The sequence below is a fragment of the Homo sapiens genome, chromosome 1 (genome assembly GCF_000001405.40).
Source record: "Homo sapiens chromosome 1, GRCh38.p14 Primary Assembly".
Classification (NCBI taxonomy): Eukaryota; Metazoa; Chordata; class Mammalia; order Primates; family Hominidae; genus Homo; species Homo sapiens.
This window is the reverse complement of record NC_000001.11, coordinates 149,091,912-149,106,360: the sequence shown is the minus strand read 5'-3', so window position 1 is coordinate 149,106,360 and position 14,449 is coordinate 149,091,912. Positions and strand designations below refer to the sequence as shown.

The 14,449-nt window shown below is 45.1% G+C and overlaps 1 protein-coding gene across 23 annotated transcripts in view, besides 1 other annotated feature; it reads left to right on the top strand.

Annotated features, from left to right (window-relative positions):
* Positions 2,772-2,891: a silencer, noted in NCBI's record as "silent region_1288". NCBI's record gives its function as "represses an Ori minimal core promoter by ATAC-STARR-seq in GM12878 lymphoblastoid cells {active_cell/tissue: GM12878}" and the evidence as "EXISTENCE:reporter gene assay evidence [ECO:0000049][PMID:35858748]".
* The window catches only part of NBPF9 (NBPF member 9), a 51,366-nt gene continuing 39,726 nt past the window's right edge, over positions 2,810-14,449 (top strand). For 6 of the 23 annotated variants that reach the window (NM_001388382.1, NM_001388384.1, NM_001277444.2 and 3 more), the window contains exons 1-4: positions 2,810-3,090; positions 3,514-3,632; positions 4,982-5,099; positions 7,655-7,923. The gene's annotated coding sequence lies outside the window, so the exon portion shown is untranslated. The other 17 variants (NM_001388371.1, NM_001037675.4, NM_001388366.1 and 14 more) reach the window with 10 other exon arrangements.

Genomic DNA, 14,449 nt, shown 5'->3' with positions numbered 1-14,449 from the left:
TGGAGTTGGGGTAATCACAGTTTTACAGAAATAGTCGAGAGGTGTTCCTTCATCTTCTATTTTCTGGAACAGATTGTACAGAATTGATGTTAATTCGGCTGGGCGCGGTGGCTCACGCCTGTAATCCCAGCACTTTGGGAGGCCAAGGCGGGCGGATCACGAAGTCAGGGGATCGAGACCATCCTGGCTAACACGGTGAAAACCCGTCTCTACCAAAAATACAAAAAATCAGCCGGGCGTGGTGGTGGGCACCTGTAGTCCCAGTTACTCGGGAGGCTGAGGCAGGGGAATGGCGTGAACCTGGAGGGCGGAGCTTGCAGTGAGCCAAGGTTGCACCACTGCACTCCAGCCTGGGAGACAGAGCAAGACTCTGCCTCAAAAAAAAAAAAAAAGAATTGATGTTAATTTTTCTTCAACCGTTTGGTAGAATTCTCCAGTGAAACCATCTGGACCTGGAGCTTTTCTTTCTGGAAATTTTAAAATTAGGAATCCAATTATTTTCATAGTTACAGAGCTACTCAGATGACCTGTTTTGCTTTAGGTAAGTTGTGGTAGTTGATACTTACGACACATTTGTCCAATTCATCTGGGTTGTCAAATATATGTGTGTACAGAATTTTAAATAGTTTTTCCCTTATTATTATCCCTTTGATATCTGCAGTCTGTAATGAGTGTAGTCCCTGTTTCATCCTGATGTTCATAAGCTGACTTCTTTTTTTCTTTGTCAAGTTTATTGATCTTTTCAAAGAGACAGCTTTATTTTCACTAGTTTCCCCTTTTGTTTTTTTCTGTTTTCAATGCCATTGATTTCTGCTATTATCTGTATTATTTCCTTCCATTTGCTTTAGGTTTTTTTTTTTTTTTTTGTAGAATCAGTCTCATTCCCATGGTGCAGGCCGGAGTGCAGTGGTGCGATCTCAGCTCACTGCAACCTCCACCTCCCGGGTTCAAGCGATTCTCCTTCCTCAGCCTCCAGAATAGCTGGGATTACAGGTGGCTGCTACCATGCCCAGCTAATTTTTTTGTATTTTTGGTAGAGACGGGGTTTTGCCTTGTTGGCCAGGCTCGTTTCAAACTCCTCACCTCAGGTGATCCACCCACCTTGGCCTCCCAAAGTGCTCGTATTACCGGCGTGAGCCACCGTGCCTGGCCTGCTTTAGGTTTCTTTTACCTGCTTTTTTCTTGTTTCTTGAGGGGGGAGCTTAAGTGTATTCATTTGAGACATCCCCTCTTTTCTTTTATCCCTTTTAAAAACTTTTGTATATAATTATTATTGTAGGAAGTTAGGCTTGGGCCCGCAAACTATGGAAGAACAGAATATACTAGGCCACTGCTTTAATAGCTGGTGCCTGCTTGTTGCCCACCCCCACTCCCCCACCTTAGCTGCCTTGTCCAAACCAAAGAGTTTAGTCTAGAATGGACATTTACTAGCCTGCAAAATAGTTCGCTACATCTATTCTTATCAGCTTGCCTGACTGCCCAGGTCATAAGTCTAATACTTGAAAAGCCCCCGAGCTGACCATGATTGCAATGCATTATGGGCTGCAACAAAATACAGGGAGACAACCCTAAAAAAAAAAACAACAACCTAAAAGTCCCAACCCAAGATCCAATAGGCGACATCCGGGAATACTGTGACCCCATAGTACTCAGCCTATGAGGAACCGGGGGAGGCACTTCCACACTAGGGGATAAATTGCTTGTTGTAAGCCTACTGGGTGTGCCTGCCTACCAGACACCCGATCTTGCAAGACTGTCATTAATAATAAGTCGCACTTCTGCTGTTTTCCGGGTCTTGGAGTCCATTCTTTGGGTTTGGACGGGTGAGTTTATTTCTCACGATTATTTCCAGGCAGGCCTTGCCCAGTGGGTGGCTCATGCTTGTAATCCCAGCACTTTGAGAGGGTAAGCCTGGTGGATCACCTGAGGTCACGAGTTCGAGACCAGCCTGGCTAACATGGTGAAGCCCCGTCTCTACTAAAAATACAAAAATTAGCCGAGCGTGGTGGCGAGGGCCTGTGGTCCCAGCTACTCGGGAGGCTGAGACAGGAGAATCACTTGAACCCAAGAGGCGGAGGTTGCAGTGAGCCGAGATGGCATCACTGCATGCGACAGTGCAAGACTCCGTTTCAAATAATAATAATAATAATAATAATAACAATAATAATAATGGCACTACCTAAAGTTATGCAAGCATTTGCCTTAGATAAAATTTCAAGTTTTCAAAGCTGTTAGCTGGGTGGACGGCATGGCTTTACTTCCTATTTCTTGGTATTTCCTAATCTTGTTGAAAAAGTTTTTCTTTTTCTCAAAGGCTTATTTCAGTGGAAGCCCATCTGCAAAATCTGTTATTAATTTAAATTAGAAAATCACTACAAGTCCCACTGACATGTGGGTTATTGTTTTTGCGAGTGACCTAAGGCCACCTCTCGGGGGAGCTGGGGGTTGCCTTCCCACGTCTGCGCGTCTGCACCCCATGCCCGGGCCTGGAAGTCAGACTCGGGGGCGGTGCTGCAGCACCAGGCCTGCAGTCCTAAGCGCGGGGTCGCTCCGGGCCCCCGAGGGGGTGTGTCTTCTGCCCCTTTAACCTGGCAGGGGCAGTTCAAGTGGCCCGGGAAATCAGCGATTTGTAGGGTCAAGGGCTGGTGCTTTAAAAGAGAGGCGGAGGGGAGAGAGGGATTTCCCGGTCTCTGCTGCACTCTGTCTATCCGCTCGGTTACTCCTTTTCCTGGCCCGCGCGAACCCGCTGTGCCGCAGAGGCGGCCATGTACCTTTAAGGCCCCGCTGCGCCTGCGCCTTGGGCTCTCCTGACGCGCCGAGCGGGACCCTGAGGATCCAGCTGGCCGCAGGCTATGGGCTGGGCGGCGGTTGAGACAGCGGCGATATTGGGAGGGGTAGGTGAGCGTCGCGAGGCAGCGTGAGCTTCTGAGTGAACGCGGTGCTTTTGGGAACGCGGGACGGGCGACCTGTGGCGCCAGGAGCGGGCCGAGGCGCGGCGGCGCGGCTGCCGTCTGGATGGGAAGTTACGGTTTACAGCGAAGTCCACCCAGCGTTTCCGAGGTGAAGGCGCCGCGCCAGGCCGGGCGGGCGGTGAGTCCGGGACCCGCGGGTACACAGCTGGGTCGAGCTGCGGCTGTCGCAAGCTTTGTTGCGAGCGACGGAGGGCGAGGCGGGGTGGGGGGTTGGGAGGGCGTGTGTTCCGGCCCCGCCGGGGCTTAAGTTCCATGCGTTCGATTCCTCGCTTGCCGCTGCCGCCCGCAGCCCTCATCTCTTGGGCGCTGGGGAAGAAACTCGCTGGCGGGTGTTCTGTGGCATCCCAGGGGGTGGAGGGACGAGCAGCTTCGGGGGCACGTCCTCGTGTATCCTGTGGAGGACCCTGACCCCGCACCCCACCCTCGAGGCCAGAAATCGGTTGCCTCTGGGGACCTGAGAAGCGAGACCACTCGCGCCCCTGACTTGCAAAGTTGGGGTCTTTATTGGCCTCCGGGATTCTGCTCCTGGCGGTTTCTCCAGGCTGGTGATGGGCAAGCCGGGTGTACCAAGTCCAGGATGCACATGAGGAGCGTTTGTAGCCGTCACTGAATCACCTCATGACTAGCGGGGCAGGCCTCTAATTCACCGCAGGATTTCCGGTAGGTTGGATTGTGGGGTTGGTGTTTGCACTCCAAAGAGTTGCTGTGATTTCCCTGTATCTGTCTTTCTGGCTTGTTAGATCTTCTCATTTGGCGTCCTTTCTCCGAAGAGTTAACCAAGACGTTTGGCATGGTTTCCTTGCTTTCCTCCTATCTTTTGCTGCTAGAGCTGCTTTCGAAAAGAAGTCTTTTCTTGCAGTGGTATCTTTTCTTTGGGTTACAGTGTTGTTCATCCTTTCTTTGCCGAAAGAATGAATCCCAGTGCTTCACGAGGTTAAAGGAAAGATCTGCTGGTAGTGTTTAGTCTTTGTTCTGAGCTGATATGTGTTAGTAGCTTTTTGTTTTTAAATTTTATTAGTAAAATTTCACCAGTGAACCAGAAGCTCTTTTTTTCTGTTGTGAAATGCTAGCTTTAAGATTTCTGAGAACTTTGTGTCAAAGAAATCTTTGAAAAGTTACTGAAGTATACAGAGAGGTTCACAATTTTAAATGTGCAGGTGGTCCGGGCGCGGTAGATCACACCTGTAATCCCAGCACTTTGGGACGCCAAGGTGGGCGGATCACTTGAGCCCAGGATTTCCAGACCAGCCTGGGCAACGTGCCAAAACCCTATCTCTACTAAAATTACAAAAGTTAGCTGTGTGTGGTGGTGTGTGCCTGTAGTCCCAGCTACCTGGTAGGCTGAGGTGGGAGGATCACCAGAGCCCAGGAGGTTGAGATTGCAGTGAGCCGTGATCATGGCAGTGCACTCCCGCCTGGGTGGCAGAGTGAGACCCTGTCTCCAAAAAAAAAAAAAAAAAAAAAAGTACAGGTAATGAATTTTTACCAAGTGAACCACCACAGATCAAGAAATAGAGCATTACTAGACTGGGGTATATTTGTAGGAGTGGCATTGTTGGTTTTAGAGGTATATGAATGATAAAACTTAGTATTACATACTGTTGAACGTTTTCCCAAAGTGGTTGTACCATTTAGCAGGGATATTCTGGTTACCCCACATCCTTGCTGATGCCTGTCAGTTAAAAATTATTTTGCCATTCTAGTAGGGGTGCAGTAATGTATCAGTGTGATTTCATTTTGCATTTTCCTGGTATTGAGATTGAGTATCTTTTATTGTCATTTGTGTGTCCTCTTTTGTGAAGTGCCTGTTAAATCTTTTTATCCAGTTTTCATTGATATGCTTGTTTTTCTGTTGATTTGTAATACTTTTTTCCGGATATGTGTCCTTTCTACGATATATATGTATTGCATTTCCCTTTTTTCAATCTGTAGCTTGCCTTTTCGCTCTTTTAATGGTGCTTATTCATGAATGGAGATTCTCTAACTTTTTTTTTTCTTTTTGAGACAAGATCTCACTCTGTTGCCCAGGCTGGAGTGCAGTGGCACAATCACAGCTGACCACAACCTTGACCTCCCAAGGCTCAGGTGATCCTCCTGCCTCAGCCCCCAAGTAGCTGGGACCTACAGGTGAGCACCACCACACTCAGCTCTTTTCTGTATTTTTAGTAGAGATGGGGTTTTGCCACATTGCATAGGCTGGTCTGGAATTCCTAGGCTCGGGTGAGACATCTGCCTCGGCCTCCCAAAGTGTTGGGATTACAGGCATGAGCCACTGCACCCAGCCTGAGATTCTTAATTTTAATGAAATTATACTTTATCAATCTTTTCCTTTATGGTTACTGCTTTTTGTGTCCTGTTTAAGAAATCAATGCCTAACCTAGGAGTATGAACACATTTTTCTGTGTTAACCTTATAGCAATTTTATTTTAGTTTTTGCATTTCTTTTTTTTTTTTTCAGACAGGGCCTCACTCTATTGCCCAGGCTAGAGTGCCGTGGCAGGATCTCAGCTCACTGCAACCTCCACCTCCTGGCTCAAGCGATCCTCCCACCTCAGCCTCCTGAGTAGCTGCGACTATAGGAGTGTGCCACCATGCCTGGCTTAATTTTCATACTTTTTGTAGAGATGGGGATTCAACATGTTTCCCAGGTTGGTCTCAAACTGTTGGGCTCAAGTAATCTTCCCACTTAAGCCTCCCAGAGTGTGGGGATTACAGGCATGAGCCACCCCACCCGGCTGTGATTCACTTTTTACTACATGGATGTGTCTGCTTGATCCAGCACCATTTATTGAAAAGACTATCCTTTTCCTTCTGCACTGTTTGGCACTTTTTTTCTTAAATCGGATGACTGCATGGTCATCCAATTTATGAAATTAGTGTGGGTCTGTTTCTGTTTCTGGACCAACCTGGGCAATATAGTGAGATCCCATCTCTACAAAAAATAAAAATAATAAATAAATGAGTAAAATTTAAAAAATAAGTGCATAGAGCAGATGGAGTCATAGGTGATAATTTATAAATGATTGTCAGTTTCTTGGCTACATACGGGTGTTGGTAATTCAGATGTGTTGGGCATTCAGGGAAAATGTATTAAGGGAAGTATGTGGTGTTCACAGTGATTGCTAGATGTTCATTGTGACTTGAATTAGATGTTATTTGAGCCTCACAGAGCTACAGTTTTGACTCTTTATTTATTTATCTTTTTACAATTTTTACAATCTTCCTGTCAAGGCAGTAACTCTTTTATACTTCATTGTTCTTAGGTATACTTAATTACCAGGAAAACTTTATGGATCGTACCTAAATAAGCGTTAAGCCATTTAAAGGGCCGACGTGATATGATGTAAACAATAGTATTCTACATAATAGTTTTAGGACTACATCGAACCATTTTTTTTTTTTTTCTTGAGACAGTGTCTCGCTCTGTTGCCCAGGCTGGAGTGGAGTGGTACGATCATGGGTCTCTGCAGCCTTGACCTCTCAGGCTCAAGCAGTCTGCCCACCTCAGCTTCCTTAGTAGCTGGGTCTACAGGCATGCACCACTATGCCCGGCTAATTTTCTATTTTTTGTAGACAGGGTTTTCCTGTAGTGCCCAGACTGGTTTCAAACTCCTGGGCTCAAATGATCCTCCCACCTTGGCATCTCAAAGTGTTGGGATTACAGGCATAAGCCATCACCGCTGGCCATTTTAGTTTTAATGATTTTTATGTTTTTCTAATTTAAAAGATTTACTAAAATCTCTTAACAGCTATTATTTATGAATATAGTATTCATTGTTGTTATTATGATTATTTTGTATGTGTTCAATCTCATTTTCAACATAAGCTCCTGGAAATTTGAGATTTTGTCTCTTATTCACCATTGTATTCTCAGTACTTGACCTTGCCTGGCATGAAACAGATATTGAATAAATATTTGTTAAATGAATGAATGAATGAACATACTAATATACCATATTCAACAATCTCCAAGTGTCACAGTTTTCACCATCTAACAAATAAAATAGCTTGTATACAGCAGAGTCACAGTCAACCTGACATAAAAGGAAATGTCAATGAAAAATAAACCTTTGTATGTGTTGCTGCTAAGATTTTGGGGCTTTTGTTACTGTAGCATAACCTAGCGAAAGCTCAGCGAGATAGCCTGTAGAATATACGTGTACAGATAGACCAGTAGATGAGATTCCAAAGAAGCATTAACTACACCCACACACTCTTAATTCCCTAACAGAAAGAATCAAATTCTTGTTCACTAAGATCTGCCTCAAGTATTACTTGGTGAAAACTTCCCTGGCTACTCAAGTATTTAGTCAGGACTCTTTATTTTTTTTTCCCCCAGGCTGGAGTTCAGTGGTGCCATCATAGCTCACTAACCTCTAATTCAAGGCTCAAGGAATCCTCCTGCCTCAACCTTCCGAGTAGCTGAGACTACAAGTGTGTGCCACCATGCTGGGCCAATTTTTCATTTTTTATTTTCAGAGATGGGGTCTTACTATGTTGCCGAGGCTGGTGAGGACTGTTGATTACATATGACAGGAACCCAAACAATTCTAGTTCCCCACCACCTTTCAACCTGCTCCTCCCTGGGTCTTCCCAGTCTCCGTAAACGGCAGCTCCATCCTTCAAGTTGCCGAAGCCCCAAATCTCAATATTAACCATGATTTCTCTCTTTTATCTCATAGGCAATCTGAAAGCAAATCCTGTTTAGATGCAGGCGAAGGTTCCTGGTGACCCAGGCTCTCACCTTACCGTCCCTTACCGTCCTCCTGAGGGTGTCCTGGAGCTTCAGTGCTGTGTGTTCTTGGCCTCCATGCTGGGGGTGCCACCAATTCCCACTGTCCAGGGCTTCCAGTGGACTCTCCGAGGTACTGATGTAGAAACTTCCCCATTCGGTGCACCAAGAGCAACCTCACACGGTGTGGGCCAAATGAAGAGCTGCCAGATCCCACAGGTAAAAACCCTGAGGCATTGCCAGCTCGATGGAGTCAGAGAGTCCTTTTTCTATTATGACTCAGATGTGAAGGGAAGATGCCAAGGGCCCTAAACATCGCAGGGCCTTACCTGGCATGAAACAGATACTGAATTAATATTTGTTAAGTGAATGAACAAATATTCACAGCGTGTGCCACCCTCGACCTGCAGTGCCGTTGTCAGGTGGAAGTGATTTTACTTCAGGAGAGGACAGTGTTCTCTCCAGGACTTTTCCTTAGTAGCTAGATCTGCATCCCACTCCTTGCTCTTCCCCTCTTACCCCCCATTCTCTGCCCCCATTTCCATCTCTTGTTTCCACCCTGCCGTCCCCTTTCACCTGCTTTCTCCTCTTCAGCTTTCATGGCTCACCCCCTCCCTGTCCACCTGCATCCCCCAGGCTAAGGCCCTGCACTGTCCTGGGTGGGGAGATGTGTGTGGTTTTAGGCAGTGCCCTCTAGATGTGTCCAGGATGGGGAAACATGGCTCAGTTGCCAGTATAATGGGTTAAAAGAGAGGCCACTTTTGAAGGCCGTTCCCATCTCCCATTCCAGAATCCTGTGGGACTTAGAATTTATGGGCCACAGTGGAATTCTTGGTTCCCCAGGACCTTGTGGTGGACGCCTTCTTTCACTGAGCATTCATGGGGTGACTATTAGGTACCATGCCCTGCTCTGGGCTAGAGACCCCATAACGAGTAAATCTCAGGTCACTACCCCATGGAACCCACCACTGCAGGCATTGAGAGGGGGAGAAAGAAAGGGGCATGGCCTGTTTGTATCCTTCTCACGTGGCCGTCCACCAGGTCCTGGGGGAGTGGGAGCCAGTGCAAGGAGGGAAGTCCAGTGAGAATGACAAATGGACGATGTCAGACCCAGGGGCTGAGGCCCCCACCTGCAGCTGGGCAGCTTCTGGAGTGGACAAGGAGCAGCAGGGAAGGTTGCGGCCTGGTGTTCTGGGATCCACTGTCTCATCTCTTTCTTTGGGGCACCAGAACTTATCCAAAGACAAGACTCAGTGTTTCTGGCAACAGTGGGCCAGAGGAATAATGTGTTTCAGAGGAGGAAGAAGGGGTTGTACCCCATGGAAACAGTATATAGTTTTACAGTAGTGCGTCTCTCTCCAATAACTAGTTAGCGTGTTCCTGTTAATGGAAAATACTGGTGGTGTAAGTTCCCCTGGATGTTCTCATCTTCATGTAAATTTGTTCATTTCCTTCCTTCCTTCCTTCCCTACTTCTCTCCCTTCCCTACTTCTCTCCCACTCTTTTTCTCTCTCTCTTTATTCTTTCCCTCCCTCCTTCCCTTCCACCCTCCCTCCCTTCCTTCCTTCCTTCCTTCCTCCCTTCCTCCTTCCTTCCCTCCCTCCATTCTTTCCTTTCTTCCTTTCTTCTTTTCTTTTTCTTTGTCTCTCATGTTCTCTCTTTTTCTTTCCTTTTTGTTCTACTTTTTTAAATAGACCACACTGCACTGAAATCTACATTACTTACCAAAACCTCTGGAGCTGCTTCTGTCTTGTAGGCAGGGAGCTCGTCCTGTAGCCCTTAGGTCCTCCCAGCCTCCTCCTCCTCTGATTTGTGGGTGCCACTGGGGCAGCTGCTGAGTCTCAGTGGTTCCTAGTCATCACCAAGTTCTGCCCACCTAGATGGTTTGCACCTGTCCTTACCAGAACCCTGCACTGTCTAGATGACTGAGGCTGCTTCTGCCTAACTGATCTGCTATCTGTGTTCCGGGGGCACCCCAGGGTTAGAGGTAAATGGCACAGGCATTGAAATCTCCAACTGCTCTGACTCCAGGTTGGTGCACTTCAATGCCAAGTACTAACCACACAATAACAGGATGCCACCAAAACCTTGGTATGGGGCTGCTGCATCCTAATTAAAAAAAAGTAATAGATGTTATTTTTTAGAACAGTTCTAGGTTTACAGAAAAATGGAGTGGATAGTACAGAGAGTTCTCCTAGGCTCCCCTGTCCTCCAGCACACAGTTTCCCCTATTAGTATGTTGTATTAGTGTGGTCCATTCGTTACAATTGATGAACCACTATTGATACATCATTATCAACTAAAGTCCATAGTTTACACTAGAGTTCATTCTTTGAGTTTCACAGATTATGGGTTTTGGCAATTATGTAATGTCCTAAATCCCCAATACAGCATCATGCAAAATAGTTTCACTGCTGAAAATTCCCTGTACTTCACCATTTCGTGCCTCCTCCTCTCCTCCACCCCTGACAACCACTCATCATTTTACTACTTCTATCTTTTTGACTTTCCAAGAATGTCCTAGAGTTGGAATTACAGTATGTAGGTTTCCAGACTGGCTTCTTTCTAGCATTATGTACTTTTAAGTTCCTCCACGTCTTTTCATGACTTGACAGCTTGTTTTGTAAAATCACTGAATCAGATTTCATTGTATGGCTACAACACAGTTTGTTTATTCATTCACTTGGTGAAAGACGTCTTGGGTACTTCCAAGTTTTGACAATTATGATAAAATTGCTGCAAGTACTTATGTGCAGGATTTTGAATGAACTTAAGTTTTCCAAAGTGACTGTACACTTTTGATTTCCACTAGCTATGGAGAGTTCTGGTTGTTCCTCATCTTCGACAGCATTTGGTGTGTTCACCGTTTTGTGTTTTAGCCATTCTGATAGGTTTACAGTGATATCTCGTTGTTTTAATGTGCAATTCCCTCACAACAAATGATTTTGAACATCTTTCTCATATGCTTATTTGCCATCTGTATATCTTATTAATGAGGTGTTCAGATCTTTCACCTTTTTTTTTTTTTTTTTTGCTTTGTGTTGTTTAGTTCTCAGAATTCTTCATATATTTTGGACAGCAGTTTTTCCATCAGATTATTTTGTAAATATTTTCTCCCAGTCTGTGACTTGCTTTTTCCATTCTCTTAACAGTGTCTTTCACACAACAGAAGTTTTTAATTTTAATGAGGCTCAACTTAATTTTTTTTTCATTAGTAGATTGTGCTTTTGGTTTTGTATCTAAGAAGCCATCATTGAACCCAGGATCCCTCAGATTTTCTCCTATTTTATCTCTTAGGATTCTTATGGTTTTGCACCTTACATTTACGTGTAAGATTTATTTTATAAAGGGTATATAACATGCATACCTGGATTTATTTATTTTTTTGCATGTGGTTGTCCAGCTGTTCTAGCACCACTAGTTGGAAAGGCTATCTTTGCTGTTTTAAATTGTCTCTAAACCTCCATGGAAGATCAGTGGACTGTATGTAGGCCTGCTTCTGGGCTCCGTATTCTTTTCCATGCATCTATATGTGTGTGTTTTCTCTTTTCACCAACTTCACACTATTTGGGTTACTGTAGCTTAATGTAAGTCCTGAAGTTGGTAGTGCCAAACCTCAGGGAGTTTTTCTGAACTTCATCATGAGAACCTGGTTGAGATCATTGTAGTAACACTTGGAAATGTGTGAGATTCCCCCTTAGTCTGGTCTTCAAGGTGTTTTTAATGTTCTAGCCAGGCTACCCTCAGCTTCTAGTAATCTGTCAATATCATTTAAGTGCTCCTCCCACTTGCTGTCCCCAGTAGCTTCTCTTCCCTGTGAGCTGTGACTCCTTGTGTGTTAGCCTGTGTTTCTCATTTTTAAGGTGGCAGTTTTCCCTGTGACCTCAATTCTCTGATCCACCCTAGAAGGGTTGACTTTCAGTTTGTTCAGCTTTTTTCTAGCTGTGAGGACAAGTGATGACTGCCTAGCTCTTTCCATGTTGAAATAGAAACCTAAAAGTTTGTTTAAAGAATTACTTGTTATAAAAGTCCCCCATTGTTAATGTACAACTCAATGATGTAAGTTGATTTATCGAATTGTGCAGCCATCAGCAGAGTTCTACTTCAGCATATTTTGTCACTTCCCAAATTCCCTTGAACCTGTTTGTAGTCATTTCCTAATCCCTGGTCCCCATGACTGGGTCTGAATAGAATAAACATTTGGAAAGCAGATTTCATTATATTTACATTTTCCTGTGTTTGGGACTTTATATAGTGGACTATTGTGTTCGTTTTGTGACAAGTAGAGAAGAGATTGCATTCTAGGGATGGTTTTTGGGGAAACATAATAGTAGTCCTGTTTATGGCTCTCCTTGAATTGGTTCATCTGTGCTGGTGACTGGTATTTGTTACCAAACCTTGTCTGGTGAGCACAAGAAAAGGAATTTTTTAAAATCTGCTATTAAAATTGAGATGATACATTTTCACATAATAATATTTGGAGTTAAGTAGTGAACCGTCTTTATTTTATCTTTTCTTTTGGAGATGGAGTTATTTCTCTTTTCCTTGGGCTCGAATGCAACGGCGCCATCTCAGCTCACTGCAACCTCCACCTCCTGAGTTCAAGTGATTCTCCTGCCTCAGCCTCCTGAATAGCTGGGATTACAGGCGCCTGCCACCGCACCTGGCTAATGTTTGTATTTTTGGTAGAGACAGGGTTTCTTCATGTTGGCCAGGTTGGTCTCTAACTCTTGACCTCAAGTGATCCACCTGCCTTGGCCTCTCAAAGTGCTAGGATTACAGACACGAGCCACGGCCTGACCTGAACTGTGGGGAAAAGAAAGAGAGATCAGATTGTTACTGTGTCTGTGTAGGAAGAAGTAGACATAAGAGACTCCATTTTGTTCTGTACTAAGAAAAATTCTTTTGCCTTGAGACGCTGTTAATCTGTAACCCTACCCCCAACCCTGTGCTCCCTAAGACATGGGCTGTGTCAACTCAGGGTTAAATGGATTAAGGGCTGTTCAGGGTGTGCTTTGTTAAACAAATGCTTGAAGGCAGCATGCTTGTTAAGAGTCATCACCACTCCCTAATCTCAAGTACCCAGAGGCACACTACACTGCGGAAGACTGCAGGGTCCTCTGCCTAGGAAAGCCAGGTATTGTCCAAGGTTTCTCCCCATGTGATAGTCTGAAATACAGCCTCGTGGGAAGGGAAAGACCTGACTGTCCCCCAGCCCGACACCCATAAAGGGTCTGTGCTGAGGAGGATTAGTAAAAGAGGAAGGAAGGCCTCTTTGCAGTTGAGATAAGAGGAAGGCATCTGTCTCCTGCTCGTCCCTGGGTAATGGAATGTCTCGGTGTAAAGCCCGATTGTATATTCCATCTACTGAGATAGGAGAAAACCGCCTTAGGACTGGAGGTGGGACATGCTGGCAGCAATACTGCTCTTTAAGGCATTGAGATGTTTCTGTATATGCACATCAAAAGCACAGCACTTTTTTCTTTACCTTGTTTATGATGCAGAGACATTTGTTCACGTGTTTACCTGCTGATCTTCTCTCCACTATTATCCTATTGTCCTGCCACATCCCCCTCTCCAGAAATGCCCGATAATGATCAATAAATACTAAGGGAACTCAGAGGCCAGTGCCGGCATGGGTCCTCTGTATGCTGAACGCCGGTCCCCTGGGCCCATTTTTCTTTCTCTGTACTTTGTCTCTGTGTCTCTTTCTTTTCCAAGTCTCTCCTTCCACCTAATGAGAAATGCCCACAGGTGTGGAGGGGCAACCCATCCCTTCACTGAACCATTTTTATTCTTCCAGAAATGTGATTGATAATAGTAAAGCCACACTCCTCAAGTGCCTGAAATACCCCTCATTGTCTTCTTCAGGTGGCAAGGGCTCTGGAACAGCCACATAAAGGTGAGGGCAATATTTTTACTGTAGTTCTTTCATTGATTGGTTGATTGATTTTTTTCTCTTAGAGGGTTAGCATACATTTATCTGAAATTGAAATTCAAGAGGAGAGACAGGCACCTGTACTAGTTTTCTCTTGCTGCCTATTATCACATTACCACAAACCAGTGGTTTGAAACCACAGAAGTCTGGAATGAAGTGGCCGGGTTCTCTGATCAGAGTCATGTGAGGCTAAAATCCGGGAATGGGCTGGCTGTGTTTTTTTCCTAGAGCTCAAGCTATTTTTCCAGGTTCACTACAGATAATGAAAGAGTTCCTATTCTAGTTTGTGGGGGACTGAGGGCCCTTTTTCTGTGCTGGCTGTCAGCGGGGAGACAGTCTACTCTGACTCCAGAGGCCACGTGCTTTCCTCCTTACCTGTCTGTTTCATCTTTCAACCAATAACAACTCATGGAGTCCTTCTCAAGCTCCCACCTTCTCTGACTTCATCTTCTCCAACCAGCCACACAAAGCTCTGTCATGTATGGAGTGATGTGATTAGATCCAGTTCATGCGGTAACCTCACCATCTTAAAGTCATATAACTGGCATATAACAACATAGTCACAGGAATGGTGTCTCATCACCTTAAGAGGCTTTAGAGACAAGGGTGTGGCATGTTTGGGGACCATTTCAGAAATTCCATTTACCACAGTAGGACACTCACATTCCCCCATCTGCAAAGTGCATTTACCCTCTCCCCTGAGGTTTCCAGATTTCATGTCATTAAAGCATTAGTTCAACATGAAAAATGTCATGTAGACCACATCAGATCAAAAGTTTAAAATCCCATCTAAAACATCCACACCAG